This window comes from Homo sapiens, chromosome 6, assembly GCF_000001405.40.
Source record: "Homo sapiens chromosome 6, GRCh38.p14 Primary Assembly".
In the NCBI taxonomy this organism is placed as follows: domain Eukaryota; kingdom Metazoa; phylum Chordata; class Mammalia; order Primates; family Hominidae; genus Homo; species Homo sapiens.
The window spans coordinates 16,209,165-16,231,299 of NC_000006.12; the positions used below are offsets into that span (position 1 = coordinate 16,209,165).

General features: G+C 46.9%; 4 annotated features.

The window, feature by feature from the left end:
• Window positions 5,692-5,868: a silencer, noted in NCBI's record as "fragment chr6:16215087-16215263 (GRCh37/hg19 assembly coordinates)". NCBI's record gives its function as "represses an EF-1alpha promoter that drives an FKBP-Casp9 reporter gene in an ReSE screen in K562 erythroleukemia cells {active_cell/tissue: K562}" and the evidence as "EXISTENCE:reporter gene assay evidence [ECO:0000049][PMID:32094911]".
• Window positions 6,093-6,779: a transcriptional cis regulatory region, noted in NCBI's record as "candidate enhancer chr6.847 targeted for multiplex CRISPR interference". NCBI's record gives its function as "positively regulates GMPR gene expression with high confidence in K562 cells {active_cell/tissue: K562}" and the evidence as "EXISTENCE:mutant phenotype evidence [ECO:0000015][PMID:30612741]".
• Window positions 8,327-8,549: a silencer, noted in NCBI's record as "fragment chr6:16217722-16217944 (GRCh37/hg19 assembly coordinates)". NCBI's record gives its function as "represses an EF-1alpha promoter that drives an FKBP-Casp9 reporter gene in an ReSE screen in phorbol 12-myristate 13-acetate-treated (for megakaryocytic differentiation) K562 erythroleukemia cells {active_cell/tissue: K562(+PMA)}" and the evidence as "EXISTENCE:reporter gene assay evidence [ECO:0000049][PMID:32094911]".
• Window positions 15,273-15,641: a transcriptional cis regulatory region, noted in NCBI's record as "candidate enhancer chr6.848 targeted for multiplex CRISPR interference". NCBI's record gives its function as "positively regulates GMPR gene expression with high confidence in K562 cells {active_cell/tissue: K562}" and the evidence as "EXISTENCE:mutant phenotype evidence [ECO:0000015][PMID:30612741]".

A 22,135-nucleotide genomic window follows, 5' to 3' on the forward strand; every position in this document is an offset into this window, starting at 1 on the left:
CACTCCAGCCTGGGCAATGGAGTGAGATCCTTTCCCTCCAACCCCCCAAAAATTAACAAATTACCTGGGCATGGTGGCATGCACCTGTAGTTCCAGGTACTCAAGAGGCTAACTTGGGAGGATCCCTTAAGCCCAGGAGTCCAAGGCTGCAGCGAGCTGTGATTGCACTACTGCACTCCAGCCTGGACCACAGAGCAAGACCTTGTCTCAAAAAAAAAAAAAAAAAAAAATCTCTGTATTAAACTATCCACCAGAGGCAGGACAGATGCCAGAATGTGTTTTAACATTAACATAAATGTATTAAACAAATACATTCAATCAAATATAGTACTAGATGCTACAAAAAAAGTAAAAGCAGTCTTAAATTTGATTATAGATAGAGGAAGCAATGTGCAACAAAGAAAGAGTTGTTTTATTACTAAAGGGAAAGCGAGTAAATAAGCTTATTTGTAAGTGTTCAAGTTTCTCAAGGAAGACTTCTTAAAACACAAGAATTTCATTTTATGGCATTGTGCTTGTTTTTAAGGTGGGGTTGAAAGAAGGCAGAGAAATCAATAAAACTCTCTGGCTGGATAACAGAAGCCATTTCCAGGGCAACAAGGGAGGGAGACATGCCGTGGATTTAAAGGACACAGCATTTGACTAATGCAACAAAAGAGGTGAGAAAACACAGAGGTAGAGACAAGACCCTGGGTCACACCGAGAAATGGGAAAAGTGGGGTGTAAGTCTTGGAGTTTCTCTATTTCATGCTGCAAATTGCCTTCTCTACCCGTGGGTTCCCCAGTCCCTGCCCCAGCTCACAGAACCTTCATGCTTGCTTTCTCTCTTCTGTGTCCGACAAAATTTCAGCTCAGGTAAAGATCAGAGACACACTAAATAAATATCCTTACTTTTCACAGAGGTTTTGGCATTTTAACATAAGGAAAAGGCTTATACTAGAGCTTCCCCAAGGATGGCAAACGCTGCTTCTTCCAGGGGTCTCGGTGGAAGAAGCCCAAGATGGGGACCGTGGAATCTGAATGAAGTCCGTGTTTTATCTTTAACACATATGCGCATTTTCACAATACTCGTTCATACATCTGAGTTTATTTTCATATAAAATAATAATGATATATTATTATATTACAGCTTCCATTTATTAAATGCTATGTGCTGGGCATAGTCATAAAGACTATGACATTAGCAGTCCCCAACCTTTCTGGCACCAGGGACCAGTTTCACGGAAGACGACTTTTCCACTGACAGGAATGGGGGATGGTTTGGGGATGATTCAAGAGCATTACATTTATTGTGCACTTTATTTCTGTTATTATTATATTGTAATATATAATGAAATAACTATACAACTGATCATAATGTAGAATCAGTGGGATCCCTGAGCTTGTTTTCCTGCAATTAGAGGGTCCCATTTAGGGGTGATGGGAGACAGTGACAGATCATCAGGCATTAGATTCTCATAAGGAGCACAAAACCTAGTTCACAATAGGGTTTGTGCTCCTGAGAATCTAATGCTGCCACTGACCTGACAGAAGGCTGAGTTCAGGTGGTAATGCTCCTTCGTCCACTTACTTCCTGCTATGTGGCCCAGTTCCTGACAGGCCATGGACAGGTACCAGTCCACAGCCCAGGGATTGGGGACCCCTGATATACATCCATTATCTTGTTTAATCTTCTTGTTTTTTTTTTTTTTTTTTGAGATGGAGTCTTGCTCTGTTGCCCAGGCTGGAGTGGAGTGCAGTGGCCTGATCTCAGCTCACTGCAACCTCCGCCTCACAGGTTCAAGTGATTCTCCTGCCTCAGCCTTGCGAATAGCTAGGATTACAGACACGTGCCACCACGCCCAGCTAATTTTTGTATTTTTAGTAGAGATGGGGTTTCACCATGTTGGCCAGGCTGGTCTCGAACTCCTAACCTCAAGTGATCGGCCCTCCTTGGCCTCTCAAAGTGCTGGGATCACATGTGTGAGCCACCATGCCCAGCCTAGCCCTTTTAAGAGACACCAGAGAGCTAGCATGAGCTCTCTTTCTCTGTCTCCTCTCTCTATCTCCCTCTCTCTATCTATCTCTTTATCTCTCTCTCTGTTTCTCTGACTCTCTCTTCCTCTCTTTCTCCCTACTCTGTGGGGACACAGCAAGAAGGCATCTGTCTGGAATCCAGGAAGAGAACCCTCTCCAAAAATCAAATCAGCTGGACCCATGATCTCAGACTTCCTACTCTCCAGAACTATGAGAGAGAAATTTCTGAAATCTGTCCTCTCATGGGCTCAGGTATTAAATTTTAATACTGCAGGCTTCACAATGGGGTGTATGCACCCCTGGGTGGCTGGGCGCAGTGGCTCACGCCTGTAATCCCAGCACTTTGGGAGGCCAAGGCAGGCAGATCACCTGAGGTCAGGAGTTTGAGGCCAGCCTGGACAACATGGAGAAACCTCTGTCTCTACTAAAAATACAAAAAAAATAGCCAGGCATGGTGTTGTGCGCCTGTAATCCCAGATACTCTGGAGGCTGAGGCACGAGATTTGCTTGAACCCAGCGGCAGAGGTTGGCAGTGAGCTGAGATCACGCCACTGCATTCCAGCCTGGGTGACAGCAAGACTCCATCTCAATAAATAAATAAATAATAAAAGGGAATCCATTTCCATCAATATGTTCAACTTGCATCCACTCTCTTTTTTGAAACTGACCTGAGAATACCAGTGATGGAAAGTCAATTTTTTTTTCATCCATGCCCTCTTATCAGTGCACAGATAAGGTTCTCAGCTTCCCAAAAGAAAGGTATCCCTCGTGCCCAACCTATCTTCATGGTGTTGCATTGCTCTGGCATATAGAATCTCTGGATGCTCTTTGAAATATTCATGTGAGTATCGGGAAAAGAGATGCATTTTACCATTGGGTACAAATCATTTAGCAACTTGGATTTCTAAATTTTTGCTTTCAATGAAAAAGAAGGACATGACCAAGGTGTTAGCTGGTAGATCGTTGTAAGTTAATGCTTGTTATAGACAGATCGCCATTAGACTTTTAACATATAATTCAGAAAGAGTTCAAAGAATTAAGGAATATTTCTCTGGGGTTTGTTTGTTTGTTTAGAGACACGGTCTCACTTTGTTGACCAGGCTAGAGCGTAGTGGCACAATCATAGTTCACTGCAGCCTTGGACTTTTGGATTCAAGGGATAGATCCTTCAGCCTCAGCCTCCTGGGTAGCTGGGGCTACAATTACACACAACCACACCTGGCTAATTTTTAAAATTTTTTGTAGATATGGGTTCTTGTTATGTTGCCCAAGCAAACTCCTGGGCTCCAGCGATCTTCCAGCACTTGGTCTTCCAAAGTTCTGGGATTACTCATGAGCCATCATGCCTGGCCCTTGAGTGACATTTCTCTTTGTGACCGAAGTTTCTCATAACTTCTATCTATAAAGACAAACACAATAATAGGAATAAAATCACTTCTGAACTCTCTCATCCTAGCAATAAATAATACTCATTCAGGCGGGGTGCAGTGGCTCACACCTGTAATCCCAGAACTTTGGGAGGCTGAGGCAGGCAGATCACTTGAGCCCAGGAGTTTGAAACAAGCCTGGGCAACATGGCGAAACACCATCTCTACGAAAAATATACAAAAATTACCCAGGCATGGTGGCGAGCGCCTGTAGTCCCAGCTACTCAAGGGGCTGAGGTGGGAGGATGACTTGAGCCGGGGGCTCAGTTAAGGCTGCAGTGCACTGTGATTGTGTCACTGCACTCCATCCAGAACAGCAGAGTGAGGCCCTGCCTCAAAAAGTATAAACATTCATTCATGAATACATGAATTAGAAGGGAAGTGGGAGGGAAGCCCCATTTATCTATGCAGGGCGTCACCTGAATTCCAGTTCTTCCCTTTTGACCATATGGAAGGTTTGCACTTCCCCAACTGTGTTTGAAGTTAGATTTGGCCCTGGGACTGGCATGGGCTAATGAGGTATACATGGAGGTGACATGTATCATTTCCAGGCAGCCACATTCCATTTCTCCTGCCTCAGTGATCATGGGTGCAGACATTGAGAGGAAGCCTGCAGAAGCCCGGGTCCCAGAGTAACCCTGATGAGCAAAGCATCTTGTTGGGTGGACCAATAGTGTGAGCAAGAAATGCGCTTGTTCTGCATCAAGCACCCGAGTATAATCCAGCCCAAGATGCACCCAATAAAAGGTGCCTCTTAAAGAAATTTTACTTCTGATGTTTAATAATTATGTATATCCGTAATTTACTTAAGTCGTTTTGATCAGTTGTCTCTAATAAAAGTTGTAACTATTAGCAACCCCCAAAAAAAGTTTTTAACAATTAAATCATTATAGTCACAGGAAATAATGAAACATTAATTTCAATTTATAGGATTCTTTTTTTTTTTTTTTTTTTTTGAGATGGAGTCTCTCTCTGTTGCCCAGGCTGGAGTGCAGTGGCGCAATCTTGGCTCCCTGCAACCTCCACCTCCTGGGTTCAGGCAATTCTCCTGCCTCAGCCTCCCAAGTAGCTGGGATTACAGGCTCCCACCACCATGCCCAGCTAATTTGTGTATTTTTAGTAGAGACGGGGTTTTACCATATTGGTCAGGCTGTTCTCAAACTCCTGACCTCAGGTGATCCAACTGCCTCAGTCTCCCAAAGTGCTGGGATTGAAGGCATGAGCCATGGCGCCTGGCCAATTTATAGGATTTTTATGGCAGAGAAGTGTGATAGGATGATCAGGAAAAGCCTCTTATCCCAGTGCAATTTATTTCATAAAGCTGGAAATGAACCACCCCAGGATAAATTCCTGAGGGGGATTGTAACCACCCGATGGGTTCATTTTGCCTGCTGCCCAGATACAGCTGATCTATCAAGGCAGAGGAATTGCAATAAAGAGTCCAATTCATGCAGAGCAGCTGAATGGGAGATTGGAGTTTTAATATTACTGGAGTTTTATTATTATAAGGCAGTTTATTGATCTGGGTGGGAAGGCGGTTTGTTTCTGGAAATGGCTGTCATTATCTTTGTTTTTTGTTTTTGTTTTTATTTTTGTTTTTTTGAGACAGAGTCACTCTGTCACCCAGGCTGGAGTGCAGTGGCAGGATCTCAGCTTACTGCAACCTCCACCTCCCAGGTTCCAGTGATTCTCCTCCCTTAGTCTCCTGAGTAGCTGGGATTACAGTCACCCGCCACCACGCCTGGCTAATTTTTGTATTTTTAGTAAAGACAGTGTTTCACCATATTGGCCAGGCTAGTCTTGAACTCATGACCTCAAGTGCTCCATCCACCTCGGCTTCACACACTGCTGAGATTACAAGCCTGAGCCACCGTGCCCAGCCTGTTATCATCTTTGTTTCAAAGTTAAACTATAAACTGAGCTCCTCCCAAAGTTAGTTGATCCTCTGCCCAGGAATGAACAAGGACAGCTTGGAGGTTAGAAGCAACATGGAGTCGGTTAGGTCAGATCTCTTTCACTGTCATAATTGTCTGTTATAATTTTTGCAAAGCTGGTTTCAGGATGTGAAAATAGAAGGTCAAGGACAAAAATGAACAATACAACATTTCAACTCTAAAAGTAGAATTTTTTCACGTGTTTTTTAAGCAAATGGGGGTGGACCCCAAGGAGTCATGGTATTAGTTTTCAAAACAATTTGGCTTGAAATCAGCTAGAAATCACACGGGTTTGTTTTGTTTTGTTTTGTTTTGTTTTGAGATGGAGTCTTGCTCTGTCGCTAGGCTGGAGTGCAGTGGCATGATCTTGGCTCACTGCAACTTCCACCTCCCGCGTTTAAGCAATTCTCCTGCCTCAGCCTCCCAAGTAGCTGGGACTATAGGCGCCCGCCACAACGCCCAGCTAATTTTTTTTTTTTTTTTAAGTAGAGACAGGGTTTCACCATGTTGGCCAGGATGGTCTTGATCTCGTGGCCTGGTGATCCACCCAACTTGGCCTCCCAAAGTGCTGGGAGTACAGGCGTGAGCCACTGTGCCCGGCTGAAATTACATCTTTTAAAATTGACAAACTTATGATTAAAAATTTTTGATGTCGATTAAAAGTATGTAGAAGAATAAATAGTTTTATAAAATTTTGAAGGAATACTTGAACCAAAAATTTGAAGATGACAGTCTCATCTACCTAAGGCAGGGTTCCTCAGCCTTGGCACCACTGACGATTGGGTTATGTAATTCTTTGTTGTGGGGCGGTGCTGTGCACTGTGAACTGTTCAGCAGCATCCGTGGCTTCTATCAACCAGAAGCCACTATCGCCCCCCATCCCGTCCAGTCGTGACAACCGCAAATGTCTCTAGACATTACTAAATGTTCCCTGGAGGAGCAATAAAGAGTTGAAAAACACAGACCTGTGAGTAAAAATCTATGCCAAAAATGCTTTTCTTGTCTACTGGCCACGACTGTCTTCAAAGTCATAAATTGTCCAGAAAACACTGACAGTGACTCTGAAATACCCTCAACCCTATTGTCTATTTTCCTCCAAGCTTAACAGAAGTGGCCAGGAAAGGATGACTTATACCAAAACCAACTGGTATAAGTCAGCTGACTCATGCATGTTTCCTGCCTGCCCCTGATAAGCATGGAAGCGTGTGACCTCTGGTATAAACTGAAATGGAATTCAGTTCTCCCGAAGAATGGGAAACTTGAGTTTAGCACTACTCAGGGCTGTTTCTTGTCTACCTACTTTTTTTTTTTTTTTTTTTTTTTTTTTTTGAGACGGAGTCTCACTCTGCTGCCTAAGCTGGAGTACAGTGGTGCAACCTCGGCCCACTGCAACCTCCACCTCCCGGGTTCAAGTGATTCTCCTGCCTCAGCCTCCCAAGTAGCTGGGATTACAGGCGCGCAACACCGCGTCTGGCTAATTTTTGTATTTTTAGTAGAGACGGGGTTTCACCACGTTGGCCAGGCTGGTCTCGAACTCCTGACCTCAGGTGATCCACCTGCCTCAGCTTCCCAAAGTGTTGGGACTACAGGCGTGAGACACTGCGCCCGACCTCCAGATACCTTGTTTTTAATTCTTTTGAGTATATACGCAGAAGTGGAATTGCTGGATCATATGGTAATTCTGCTTTTAATTTTCTGAGGAACCTCCATCCCGTTTTCTACAGCAGCTACACTTTTCAGATTGTCTTTTCAGGCTTTCACACTTCTGAGGACCTAATGACTCCTCCCAGGGGGGCCTCCAACTCGACTCAGCTGTCCTGTGGCCCCCACCTAAAAGCGGGCTCAGCGCACAAGGACCGTTTTCCACACCTCTGTGACTGCATCCCCACCCAATCACCAGCACCCATTCCCCTGCCTGCCAAACTATTCTTGGAAAACCCTAGACTCTGAAATTTCAGGGAGACTGATTTCAGTAATAAAACTCGTCTCCCAGTCAGCCAGCTCTGCGTGAATTAAACTTTTTCTCTGGCAGTTCCCGTCTTGATAAATCTGCTCCATCTGGGCAGCAGGCAAGGAAAAACTCCTACCCTTCCCAGACTCTAGTATCCATTTGAGAGGTGACAGCTTGCTGGCAGCCCTCACGCGCTCTCGGCGCCTTCTCTGGCTGGGCTCCCACTTTGGCGGCACTTGAGCCCTTCAGCCCCCCGCTGCACTAAGGGACCCCCTTCCTGGGCTGGCCAAGGCCGGAGTCGGCTTCCTCAGCTTGCGGGAAAGTGTGGCGGGAAAGGCGCGGGCGGAAACCGGGGCTGCGCGGGGTGCTTGCCGGCCAGCGCGAGTTCCGGTTCGGTGTGGGCTCGGCAGGCCCCTCACTCGGAACGGCCTGTCGGCCCTGGCGGCCCCGGGCAGAGGGGCTTAGCACCCGGGCCAGCGGCTGCGGAAGGTGTGCTGGGTCCCCCAGCAGCGCCGGCCCACTGGCGCTGCGCTCAATCGATTTCTCGCCAGGCCTTAGCTGCCTCCCCGCGGGGCAGGGCTCAGGACCTGCAGCCCACCATGCCTAGCCTCCCCACCCCACTATGTGGGCTTAGGTGTGGCCCGAGCCTCCCCCGACAAGCACAGCCCCCTGCCCCACGGTGCTGAGTCCCATTGACCACCCAAATGACTGAGGAGTGCGGGGACACAGTGAGTGACTAGCAGACAGCTTCCACCTGCAGCCCCAGTGCAGGACCCACTGGGCGAAGTCAACTGGGCCTCTGACCCTGGTGGGGAATTAGCGAACCTTTACGTCTAGCTAGGGGATTGTAACTACACCAATTAGCATTCCGTTATCTAGCCCAAGATTTGTAAACACACCAATCAGCACCCTGTGTCTAGCTAAGGACTTGTGAATGCAACAATCCACACTGTATCTAGCTATTCTAGTGGGGACGTGCAGAACTGTGTCCGAAACTGGTGGCCTCTATGGCTTATAAGAATGAAGCCGCAGACACTCGCCCTGTGTGTTTCAGCTGTTACAATATCCCGTCCAGAGTTTCTTTCAGTGGGTTTCTGATCTCGCAAGCTCAGAACTGAATCTGGAGACCTTCGCGGTGTTACAGATCTTAAGACAGCACGTACTGGAGGTGTTCCTTCCTCCTGTGGGCTTCTGGTCTTACCGGCTTCAAGAGTGAAGTCGCAGACCTTTACTAGTGAATATTACAGATCCATATAAAACAAAGTTGAACCTAAGAAACCAAAGAAAAACTTTCACAGCCACCTTGCGCAGCCTGCTTTTATTCTCTTATCTGGCCCCACCCACATCCTGCTGATTGGTAGAGCCCAGTGGTCTGTTTTGATAGGGCACTGATTGGTGCGTTTACAATCCCTGAGCTAGACACAAAGGTTCTCCACGTCCCCACTAGATTAGCTATAGTGTCCAAACGTTCTCCAAGGCCCCACCAGAGTAGCTAGAGTGTCGATTGGTGCATTCACAAACCCTGAGCTAGACACAGGGCGCTGATTGGTGTGTTTACAAACCTTGAGCTAGATAGAGTGCCGACTGGTGTATTTACAATCCCTGAGCTAGACATAAAAAGGTTCTCCATGTCCCTACCAGACTCAGGAGCCCAGCTAGCTTCACCCAGTGGATCGCACACCGGGGTTGCTGGTGGAGCTGCCTGCCAGTCCCGCACCGTGTGCCTGCACACCGGGGCTGTAAATGGAGCTGCCTGCCAGTCCTGCATCATGTGCTAAGTCCCTCATTGCCTGGGGCTAGCCGGGCCAGCCAAGCCCACGCCCACCCGGAACTGCAGCTGGCCCACAAGTGCCGCGCGCAGCCCGGGTTCTCGCTCGCACCTCTCTCTCCACACCTCCCTGCAAACTTAAGGGAGCCAGCTCCAGCCTTGGCCAGCTCAGAAAAGGGCTCCCACAGTGCCGCGGTGGGCTGAAGAGCTCCTCAGGTGCAACCAAAGTGGGAGCCCAGCCAGAGGAGGCGCCCAGAGCGAGTGAGGGCTATGACGACTGCCGGCACGCTGTCACCTCTCAGAACCTTTATGTCTAGCTCAGGGATTGTAAACGCACCAATCAGCACCCTGTCAAAACAGACCACTTGGCTCTCTGAAAAATGGACCAATCAGCAGGATGTGGGTGGGGCCAGATAGAATAAAAGCAGGCTGCCCGAACTAACAGCGGCAATCTGGTTGGATTGTATTCGATAATGTGGAGGCTTTAGTTGTTTTCTTGTTTGCAACAAATTTGGTTGCTGTTCTCTGGGTTTATGCTGTGTTTATAAGCTGTAATGCTCTTTGGTGAAGATTTGCAATTTCTCTGAGAGCAGTGTAGATCACGAACCCGCTGAGAAAAGCGAACAACTCCAGAGGCACTATTTTAAGAGGTGTGTTACTCACTGTGAAAGTCTGCACCTTTATTTCTGGGCCAACGAGATGACAAGCTCACCGGAAGGAAAACTGAACACATCCAAATAAAACAAACTCCAGACACGCCACTTTTAGAACTGTAACACTCATTGCGAGGGTCCACAGCTTCCTTCTTGAAGTTAGTGAGACTAAGAACCCACTATTTCTAGACACACTTTATTTTTATTTCTATGCTAACTACTTGATTAAAGGCAGCTTACTAAGGAAATAAGGCAAAGGATCAGTGGGTCGAGGAGAAAAAAAGTAGCAACCTCCTCCTTTGCATATTCTGCAGGTAAACCAGCATGAACTGAGTAGTGAGGTCTTCATTCAGTAACACAGGACCAGGGAACATAGGCTCATAAAGTGTTTGCAAAAGCCAGATGCTATGTGGCTGTTTAGCTGTCCAAGTTAGGGGCTATTTTTCTTGCAGCCTTATTTAACAACCACAGCCCAGCAGGGGCAAGAAGGACAACACAGAAAAGAAACTAAACCCTTGGTTTTGAAAGTCTGGAGAAACGAATAATTCAGGTACTCAGAGAGATACGCAAAGAGCCAGGAGACCAGATTTGATCTGGGTTTGTGCCTTCCGGTACTGGGGGGAAAATCTGCTTGCGGAGTTCGGAATACTCATTTGGTTTCTACTGTGCCCTGCTTTTCAAAGAGGCACCCTCTTTAAAAATTATAATAAGGCCGGGCACGGTGGCTCACGCCTGTAATCCCAGCACTTTGGGAGGCCAAGGCAGGCGGATCACGAGGTCAGGATATCGAGACCATCCTGGCTAACATAGTGAAACCCCATCTCTACTAAAAATACAAAAAATTAGCCGGGCGTGGTGGCGGGCGCCTGTAGTCCCAGCTACTCGGGAGGCTGAGGCAGGAGAATGACGTGAACCTGGGAGGCGGAGCTTGCAGTGAACTGAGATCTAGCCACTGCACTCCAGCCTGGGCGACAGAGCGAGACTTACATCTCAAAAAAAAATAAAAATAAAAGTGAAAAGGGGGAGATGAGAGCAGAGTGTTGAAATCTTCCCGCTTGCTTACTTTCTCTTTGTTTCCTCCAGATGTTTGTAAATGCAAAGGAACAAAAAGCAAATTCATTGCAATAGCTGTATGAACAGCTTAAGTTGTCCTACTGGTGTCCCAGGTCACCTTGTCAATAAAGGCAAGAATGCAGCCCTAGTATGTAACTGATAGCAGACATTAGGAACTAGAGTGGGGGCCGGGCGAGGTGGCTTACGCCTGTAATCCCAGCACTTCGGGAGGCCGAGGCAGGCGGATCACCTGAAGTCAGTTTGCGACCAGCTTGGCCAACATGGTGAAACCCCGTCTCTATTAAAAATACAAAAATTAGCCGGGCGTGTTGACATGTGCCTGTAATCCCATCTACTTGGCAGGCTGAGGCAGGAGAATCGCTTGAACCTGGGAGGCAGAGGTTGCAGTAAGCCAAGATCGTGCCACTGCATTCCAGCCTGGGAGATAGAGTGAGACTTTGTCTCTTAAAAAAAAAAAAAAAAAAAAAAAAATTTGTCTACTTTAACATTCTGGGTAAAAGCATGGGCACGAGCCCACAGTGGGCTCTCAGTAAATCCTGATAACCTGAAAGTACTACTGTCCCTCTACTTTTCCTTTCACCTCAATCTCATTTTAATAAGACACCTCTGCAGCCAAGAGGCAGTATGGCACAGCGGTTAAGAGTTGGCTTCCGGAGCAGAAAGATCTTTGCTGTTCAGCTTTTTTGCTTTGCTTTGTTTTTAGACAGAGTTTCGCTCTTGTTGCCTAGGCTGGAGTGCAATGGCGTGATCTCAGCTCACTGCAACCTCCACTTCCCAAGTTCAAACAATTCTCCTGCCTCAGCCTCCCGAGTAGCTGGGACTACAGACTACAGGACTACAGGACCACGCCTGGCTAATTTTGTATTTTTAGTAGAGACAGAGTTTCACCATGTTGGTCAGGCTGGTCTCAAACTCCTGACCCCAGGTGATCCACCCACCTTGGCCTCCCAAAGTGCTGGGATTACAGGTGTGAGCCACCGTGCTCAGCCCTGCTGTTCAGCTTTAGGCAAGTTACATAACTAATTTATCTGCCTCAATTTCCACATTTGTAATCTGAGTACAGTAATAGTATTTAATGCACAAATTTGTTTGAGGATTGAGATCATGTGTTCCAAGCACTTAATAGGGTGCCTAGAATATAATACAGTAATTGTTCAACAAATGCTAACTAATACTATTATATATCTGTATAGCTGTCATTGACTTTTGCATTCAATAATATGATGATCTGCACGTGTACAACAGCTGTTCATGTTTGAAGAACTTTATAAATAATAATTCTTCTAAAGAAAACCCTATGTGCTGATTTGCTTTGATTTGTTCAAATAGGGTAAATAAAACAGGCAACAGACCCAATATTGGTCAAAGAGCTTCCTGAAGTCTTCCTTAAGTCACGTGAGATGCACATTCAGTTCAAGTGGAACAAAGCAATGCTTTACCTTCTTGTTTCAGCTCTCATACTGTAAATAAGTGTCTTTTTTTTTTTTTTTTTTGAGACAAGGTCTTGCTGTGTTCCCCAGGCTGGAGTACAGTGGTGAGATCAGGGTTCACGAAATCCTCCCACCTCAGCCTCCCAAGTAGCTAGGACTACAGGCGTTTACCACCACGCCTGGCTAATTTTTTTAATTTGTAGAGATGAGGTCTCCAGTATGTTGCCCCAGCTGGTCACGAACTGCTGGGTTCAAGGGACCCTCTTGCCTCAGCTTCCCAAAGTGCTGGGATTACAGGTGTGAACATGGCTCAGTTTCTTTTTTACAGTTGATCTAGTGTCTTGGTTTTCACATAGTTGTGCTTTTTATTGGAAATTTCACTGTTTAAAATGGCCCCAAACTCAGTGCTGAAGTCCCACAGCTTTCTATCTCTCCTTCTTTGTGTCTTTTTCTTTTTCTTTTTCTTTTTTTTTTTTTTTTGAGATGTAATTTCACTCTTGTTGCCCAGGCTGGAATGCAGTGGTGCAATCTCGGCTTACTGCAACCTCCGCCTCCCTGGTTCAAGCGATTCTCCTGCCTCATCCTCCCAAGTAGCTGGGATTACAGGTGCCCACCACCATGCCCAGATAATTCTTTTTATTTTTAGTAGAGACAGGGTTTCACCACATTGGCCAGGCTGGTCTCGAACTCCTGATTCAGGTGATCCTCCCACCTCAGCCTCCCAAAATACTAGGATTACAGGTGTGAGCCACCACACCCAGCTTTGTGTCTTTTCTTATTTGCTTTTTTCTTTCAGGGAATACATACTTCAATGTGACCTCTATTTGCTTTATTTGGTAATCAGATACCTTACAGCAAGGTAGCTTTCTCTCTTTTTTTTTTTTTTTTTTTTTTTTTGAGAGGGAGTTTTGCTCTTGTTGCCCAGACTAGAGTGCAATGGCACGATCTCGGCTCACTGCAACCTCTGCCACAAATGTTCAAGTGATTCTCTTGCCTCAGCCTCCTGAGTAGCTGGGACTACAGGCATGTGCCACCACGCCCAGCTAATCTTGTATTTTTGGTAGAGATGGGGGTTTCTCCATGTTGGTCAGGCTGATCTTGAACTCCTGACCTCAGTTGATCCACCTGCCTTGGCCTACCAAAATACTGGGATTACAGGTATAAGCCACCTCGCCCGGCCAAAGGTACCTTTCTCAAGCTACAAAATTATTCTCTGTGTATTTAAATTCTCCCATTTTAAGCAAAGAGCAGAAGTCCACAGCTCTCACTGCCTTTTGTAAAAGTCTAAACCCATGAGGAGATGATGTTGGGTGTCAGGAACAGGAGAGAGGAGCAGCACCTTAGAGAGAACACAGTGGGGTGAGGAAGGGGAAATATTCTTCTCAATCCTGAAGGGGAGAAAGTGTTTTCTGCAAACCTGTCCTTCACCCGCCTTCAAATCAGCACCAGGAGGATATGCCCCAGAGACAACGGAAAGGACTCCAGACACAGGGCTCCCAGTCCCAGTCAAGATTCCCTCACCCACAAGTGACAAAGAAGCATCAGAGCCACAGGACTTGAAGGGACCTTGTGGGCCAGGACAGTGGAGACTTCTGGTGTGGCAGATGATTAAAACTGAGGCAGCCACTCGTCCTTTGTCACTGTAAGACCTGGCACATTTGGTGTGGGGAAAGCCCCAGCAATGACTGAAAATGAATCCTGGGCCCCCATCTCAGCAAGATGAGGGGCCAGAAACCAAGTACAAGATATCTGAAAGAAAGTAAAGAAGGACAGCTTTCCTGCATATGGAGTTTGTGAGCTGAGAGTTGTAAGGACCACACAGCAAAAGGAAAGGACGAAGACTTGCTAAATGGGGATGGGAAGGAAAGAGAAATTATTACCCATAGCAGGTGGGTATAGTTACCTGGAAATTGAATTATTTTGGCCTAAGCATTATTAAATATTTCAAGGTGCTTAACTTTTCTTAAAAGCGGCCTTCAAGGCCAGGCACGGTGACTCACACCTGAAATCCCAATGCTTTGGAAGGCTGAAGCAGGAAGATTGCTTGAGCCCAGGAGTTTGAGGCTGCAGTGAGCACCGCTGCACTCCGCCAGCCTTGGTGGTAGAGCAAGAGCCTGTTGTTGAGGTAAACTGAGGAAAGGAGAGGCCAATATGAGAGAAACAAGAGGATTGTTTATTTTTAAGTACGCATCAGCCCAGTAGATTCATATCCAAAAAGCTGAGCATTAAACAAAGACAGAGCGGGGTTTTTATAAGCGGACTTACAATAAATAAAACAAAAGCAGTTAATCATAGATAGGTCACATAATCTATAGCACAGCATAACTTGTGGCCTTGCATAGCCAGTGGCCTTGTAGCTGCATTGAAAGAAAAACATGAACTGGCTAAATAGAGACATTTGTAAAACAGAATCATGCTTAAGAAGCCTGGGAAAGGAGTAACAGTAAAAGAATTTGTCTTTCTCCTTTTTTTTCCCTTCAAGCTTGCTCTGGAGAGGGGGCGTCTGGAGCCCATTCCTTTGGCCTTGGCTTCTTAAACAGTGTTATTTTATAATTGTCCTTGAAGTGAGCTTGCTGCGCTTTCCCCTGCTAGGCAGAGGAACACTTGTTCTTTTCTTTTTAACCCTTGCCTTTCCTGTTACTTTTCTTAGAGTGAATGAATGCATATTTATTTGTAAATGTCTGCCTCAGTTTACCCCCTTTGATGCCTTTTATAAAATAAGTTTAATAGAAGGCATTACTATTACTTAGCTCTGCCTGTAGAGACAAGTTTTCTTCTTTAGACAAAGGTTGATATTTATGCATAGCCATTAGCTGACTGGTAGTTTGCCTAGCTATTATTGCCTCTATAGTTGATTGAGTGCTTCTACCAAGGAGAGGTAAGAGACAAAGGAGTATTAAGCAACTCCTAGTATGACCAGAACCACTCCTATTAAAGTCTTGAACCCTCCAAAAAAATGAAAACCAGCCTCCAAAGAATCTAGAGCCCACCCTTTCCAAGTTTGAACTGGAACATGGGCTAATCTTCTCATTCTTGCAGTTATTTCCATAATTGCCTTTCCATTGTCATCGATTTCCAGGCAGCAATATGTTAGATTGAACTTTCCACATGCTCCTCCTTCCCGGGCTAGGAGGTAGTCTAAAGCTAATCTGTTCTGATAGATAGTGTTCCTCATTTTTGTGGCTTGCTGGGCCAGATGGGTCCGGGTTCTCTTTTTGATAACGTATACGAAGGTTGCTGGGTATGTGTGTACGTAGACATGTATGGGGTAACCTGCACTCCACGTGGGTAAGTCTGGCTTTAAAATAGTGAAATTTACAGGATTACAGGTTTTTGCTTCACAATCTGGTTTCATCGGCATTTTGGTAAGTATAATTGACCTTTGTTGTGTGCTAGGGTGCTATGATATGCAATACCGACAGTCTTTCTCTGGGGTCCCAGGGGAACAAAGTGGAGTTACTCTTGGCATGCATACTTATTTGTAGTTATTTCTATAGTATCTTTCCAAAGGTAAGTTTCCACAGACGGGTGAGTCTTGGTATGCTACCTGACAAGCATCAAAATACAGAGAAATAGGCCCTCAGTAAAAGGGAGGCACCCTGGTTTGGTTTAAGAGGGGACCTTCTTTTGACCCTGCACGAATTTCAAACCATTCACCAATTGAAAACTTGGGGTCAGTCATTTATGCAGCCAACAGACACATGAAAAAATGCTCATCATCACTGGTCACCAGAAAATGCAAATCAAAACCACAATGAGATACCATCTCACACCAGTTAGAATGGCAATCATTAAAAAGTCAGGAAACAACAGGTGCTGGACAGGATGTGGAGAAATAGGAACACTTTTACACTGTTGGTGGGAGTCTAAACTAGTTCAACCACTGTGGAAGATAGTGTGGCGATTCCTCAAGGATCTAGAACTAGAAATACCATTTGACCCAGCAATCCCATTACTGGGTATATACCCAAAGGATTATAAATCATGCTACATAAAGACACATGCACACATATGTTTATTGCTGCACTACTCGTAATAGCAAAGACTTGGAACCAACCCAAATGTCCATCAATGATACACTGGATTAACAAAATGTGGCATATATACACCATGGAATACTATGCAGCCATGAAAAAGGATGAGTCCATCTCCTTTCTAACAACATGGATGAAGCTGGAAACCATCATTCTGAGCAAACTATTTCAAGGACAGATAAACACTGCATGTTCTCACTCATAGGTGGGAATTCAATGGGAAAACTTGGGACAGAGCAGGGAACATCACTGACCAGGGCCTGTCGTGGGGTGGGGGGCAGGGGGGAGGGATAGTATTAAGGGAAATACCTAATGTCAATGACGAGTTAATGGGTACAGCACACCAACATGGCACATATATATATATACCTGTGTGACAAACCTGCACATTGTGCACATGTACTCTAGAACTTATAATAAAAAGAAAACTTTAAGATCATAAGGTTGGTTATTTCCTGGGTCACAAATTGAGTACGTGGTCTGATTATAAACACAAGTTCCTAAGCAAGTCCCTGTACACCAATAATTATGGTACAACAGCGTTCTGGTTATACTGTTCCCAGACGAAGTAGTATGTGTACAGTGAGGACACCCTTCTGTGGGTGCTTGTGTCTACAATTGGTGGGTTTTATGGTCTCACTGACTTCAAGAACAAAGCCGCTGACCCTTGTAGTGAGGGTTAGAGTTCTTAAAGGATGCATATCTGGAGTTTGTTCCTTCTGACACTTGGATGTGTTCAGTTTCTTCCTTCTGGTGGGGTTCGTGGTCTCGCTGGCTCAGGAGGTAAGCTGCAAACCTTCGCGGTGAATGTTACGGCTCTTAAGGCAGGGCATCTGGAGCTATTCACTCCTCCCAGAGAATTCATGGTCTTGCTGGTTTCAGGAATGAAACTGCAGACCTTCACAAATGAGGGTCACAGCTCATACAGGCAGTGTACACCCAAAGAGCGAGCAGCAACAAGACTTACTGCAAAAAACAAAAGAACAAAGGCAAGCGCAGCAGGTTGCTATTGCTGGCTCGGGCAGCCTGCTTTTATTCTCTTATCTGGCCCCACCCACTTCCTGCTGATTGGTCCATTTTACAGAGAGCCAAGTGGTCTGTTTTGACAGGGTGCTGATTGGTGCGTTTACAATCCCTGAGCTAGACATAAAGGTTCTCCATGTCCCCACTAGATAAGCTAGATACAGAGTGTCAATTGGTGCATTCACAAACCCTGAGCCAGACACAGGGTGCTGATTGGTGTGTTTACAAACCTTGAGCTAGATACAGAGTGCTGATTGGTGTATTTACAATCCCTTAGCTAGACATAAAGGTTCTCCAAGTCCCCACTAATCAGGAGCCCAGCTGGCTTTACCCAGAGCATCCCGCACTGGGGCTGCAGGTGGAGCTGCCTGCCAGTCCCATGCCATGCGCGCCGACACTCCTAAGCCTTTGGGTGGTCAATGGAACTGGGCGCCGTGTAGCAGGGGGCGGCACTCTTCGGGGAGGCTTGGACAGCACAGGAGCCCACGGAAGGGGGTGGGGAGGCTCAGGCATGGTGGGCTGCAGGTCCCCAGCCCAGCCCAGCCCCGCCCCGCCCCGCCCCGCCCTGCGGGGAGGCAGTAAAGGCCCGGCGAGAAATCGAGCGCAGCGCCGGTGGGCCGGCACTGCTGGGGGACCCAGCCCACTCTCCGCACCTGCTGGCCCAGGTGCTAAGCCCCTCATTGCCCCGGGCTGGCAGCCGGCCAGGCGCTCCGAGTGCGGGGCCCGCCATGCCCACAGCCACCCGGAACTCGTGCTGGCCCGCAAGCACCGCGCGCAGCCCGGGTTCCGCCCGCGTCTCTTTCTCCACACCTCCCTGCAAGCTGAGGGAGCCGGCTCCGGCCTCTGCTAGCCCAGGAAGGGGCTCCCACAGTGCAGCGGCGGGCTGAAGGGTTCCTCAAGTGCCGCCAAAGTGGGAGCCCAGGCAGAGGAAGCGCCGAGAGTGAGCGAAGGCTGTGAGGGCTGCTAGTACCACAGCTGCCAGCATGCTGTCACCTCTCACTTCTAGCATGGTTAAGGGGGGTAACAACAACAAAACAATGCACAGCATATTCATATCCAGCAAGGACAAAAGAGGTTCTTACCTGGGGAAGGAGGTTGAGCACAGCAACAAAACAATAGTAAAACAGTATTACAGGAAAGCTTCTAGTCCTAAGATTTCTAGCTACATTTACTTGCTTGACGAATCAAGCTTCAGTCCTGCATAGACTAGTCAGCTTCTGGTGTGTGACTAGAGCAAGGATTGTTGTTTCCTCAAGCTTCAGCCATGCATAGACTGGTCAGCCTCCGGAGTGAGCAGAGCAGGGCTGTCGTCCTCAGCAGCAACTCGGTCTTGTCGCAGGATCAGCCGGGTCAAATGGTCTGGGTTCTGCTGACTGGTTTACTTGTACCTGAGCTGCCAGTTTCAGCCAACTGTGGTGGATCCAAGGCATAACACCTGCAACTTTAACAGCAGTAGGAGTGAACAAGATTACCGTATGGGGCCCATCCCACATGGGTCTTAGGAAGTTGGGTTCTACTTTTTAACTTAAACAACAGAATCTCTAGGTTTAAATGGGTGTCAGGTTTATAGGCATTTTTTCATGTACCTAATTATGAACACTTCGCATGGCTATTTCTAAAGCCTGCATTTGTTTTCTTAAAGTTAATCCCCTAGTTCCTGGAGATCACCTTTAATTTGACCTATGGTTTTGGGGTGGCCAACTGAACAAAATCTTATAGGGCAAATACCCAGTTTGTTTGGTGGGGGTGCACCTGACTCAGAGGAGGACCACAGGCAAAACCTGATCCTATCTCAGATGAGGTTCCTGGCAATATTTCTTCAGTAGCTGCTTGAGTGTCCAGTTCATGCGTTCCACTTTTCCTGAATTTTGCGGCCGAAGGCTGTGTGTAGCTTCCATTTTATTTTCAACAGTTTTGTTAAATCTTGCACTATTTCAGCTACAAATGCCGACCCATTGTCTGACTTTAAAGTTAGAGGCAGTCCAAACCTGAGGGTAATGTCTCTTAACAGTACTTTAGTCACTTCTCGTGCTTTTTCTGTCCTAGTGGGGGAGGCCTCAATCCATCCTGAAAAAGGTGCAAATAAACACTAGCATATACCAATAGCCTCTGGCGTGAGGCATTTCGGTAAAGTTTATAAGCAAGTCTCACAAGGAATGAAGGCATGGCTCCTTCTCCTGTTCAGTTTCCCAGAGAAGGGATTCTTGTTCTCCCCACCTTTGTAACTTTATATAGTGGCGTAGCCATCAGTGAGAAACTTGGAATCCAGATACACAGAATCCTGCTGCCTTCAACTTCTAATGTGACCATGGGCTCCTGGAGACCTGATGAAAAGGAGCCCGGTTTGTCCTAGTCCTCACATCCTTCAGCTCCTGCCAGCCCGAGCAGATGAGCATCTGGTCTTTCTAAGGTGTGGCAGCCCTTGGCCGATGACTTCTTTATACCACAGCTTTACCACTCTCTTTATTACCTTCTGGACATTTATCCTTCCAGGGTCCTTTCTTTTTCCGTCTCACACATTGATCTCTTTCTAGCCTTGTCGGGCTCTCAAATCCCTGCCTAACTTGACCCCTTCCATGTCCACATCCTTGTCCACGTCCTCTCACATTGCTAATCTCTTTTTCTATAAAGACTGCTGCCAACAGATCCGCATTTTTCTTAAGTCTTTGCTCTGCTTTCTTTTTCCTTCCTGAGTTCTGCTCCTACGGCTGGCAGGGCCAGGCACACGGGCTCTGCCCCCACGCACGCACTGCCATCGGTCTTTTCTGTTTCTTTCCAATTTTCCTTTTTACTTTCTTCTTTCCTTTTTCACACTTACTCTTACTTTCTCCCTTCCTTCGCCTTTGCTCTGCTCCCATGCGGGTCCCTGCCTCCCTCTTTTTCCAGATAGAGCTGGGCTGGGGAAAGGGACTTAACCCTTAGCGTGCCTGGCTGCCTGGTGCCGTGCTTGTTGCTTTCGCTCTTTCCCATTTGTTCCCTGGTCACGGTTAACATACACCTTGGTGGCCACTTTTATAAGCTGGGTGGCATTCATGCCTGAAGTTTCCGCTTGATGTCACCCTGGGCTTGCCCTACAAATGCTGTGTTTACCATGTGCTGATTTTCAGCAGCCTCAGGGTCAAATGGGGTGTAAAACCAGGATGCTTCACAAAGTCTCTGATAAAAGTGACTTAGGCTCTTGTCAGCTCCCTGAAGCACTTCTGAAATCTTCCTTATATTAATTGCTTTCTTTTTATTAGCTCTTATCCCCTGCAAAAGCGACCTTTTGGTACCTCTGCAAACGCTGAAGCTGAGTTGCATCCTCCGGGTCCCCCCTGGGGTCTTGGTCTGGGAGCTGACCCTGAGCGTATGCCTGAGCATTCACTGTGTCTTCTGGTGCCTGGGCTTCCAGCCAGAGGCGAGCTGCCTGTGTTACTCTCCTGCACTCCTCAGTGTTAAATAATGTGAGGAGGAGCTGCCTGCAGTCTGGCCAGGTTGGATTGTGTGTCAGAAAGATGGATTGCCTCAGATCTATAAGAGCTTGGGGCTTCTCCATGTAGGAGGGAGTATGGTGTTTCCAGTTTAAAAGATCAGTGGTTGAAAAGGCTGGTAGACCAAAGTCTGTCGGCCCCCTGGACCTGGCTTTGGTCATCATAATAAATGGGTTCTCGTGTCTCCCTGAGAGGCATTTGCATAGCTCAAGCATGGCGAGATCTGAGATGACCTGCTTGACTATCTTGACTTCCTTCCCTGATCTCTCGAGGCTCCGATTCTCCCCTTTGGGGTGAAACTTGGGGCGTGCTAGCTCCTGAATCTGGTTCCTGGAGGGCTGTTAGCCTCGGTAAAGGGGGGTAGCCTGGGACATATGGAGAAAGAATCTCTGTTCCTTCTGGTAGCTCCTGCAAAACTGGCTTCTCTCGCTTTCTCTGGGACTTCCCTTTAACTCTGTGTCTGCCAGTGAAGCTGCTAAATAGGGCTGGATCCAGGCCGGTCTTGTCTGTGCTATATTTAACCATAAATCAATTTAAGGAAATTTGGGCACCCTGGCTGTCCTCCAACCCCTGTTACCACCTTAAATGCATGGCCAGTTATTCCTATCTATAGTTCTTTTGGTCAGCCATCCCACACTAAAAGGCCATTTTAATTCACAGAGAGTTCCCAACCTTTAGGGGGTTAGCTTAACTCCATAATCCCTTGCAAAACCTTTCTTAAAGTTTTGTAACGTGCACTCCAATGGAGTAAGTTTTGATGACTTTCCTCCTATCCTCCCTTTACGACGCCGCACAATCATTCTCGCACACTCACTCTTCCTCTCGTTTCGGCCGACTATACTGTCTCTTATTATGGGAGTTTTCAGATGCTGCTTGGCTTTGGAGAGTTCTTTATTTCTACTACAACTCTGAGCTGTAGGGCAGCTCCTATTAGCCATATGCAGATCGCCACTAGTCTTAGTTGACCCTACACTTTCTCAGAGCATATAGTCCATGCTAAGAGATCTGTGACTCCCAGCTTCGTGGCTGATTAGTCTAATTAGGCTCCTCCATTCACACATTTTCACACACTTTCCCACTCCCAGTTCCCGTGTTCATAACTGGGGTGGCGTGCCTCTCTTGCCCCCTCTAGTTTCCCAGTTGGGGTGGTGAGCCACTCTCGCCACCTCCAGTTTCCTAGCTGACTTAGCGAGCCACTCTGGCCACTTCCAGTTTCCTAGCTGACTTGGCGAGCCACTCTCGCCACCTCCAGTTTCCTAGTTGGGGTGGCAGGCCACTCTCACCACCTCCAGTTTCCTAGCAGACTTAGCGAGCCACTCCTGTGTCCTGTGTCAGCTAGGGTGTGAGTTTCATCC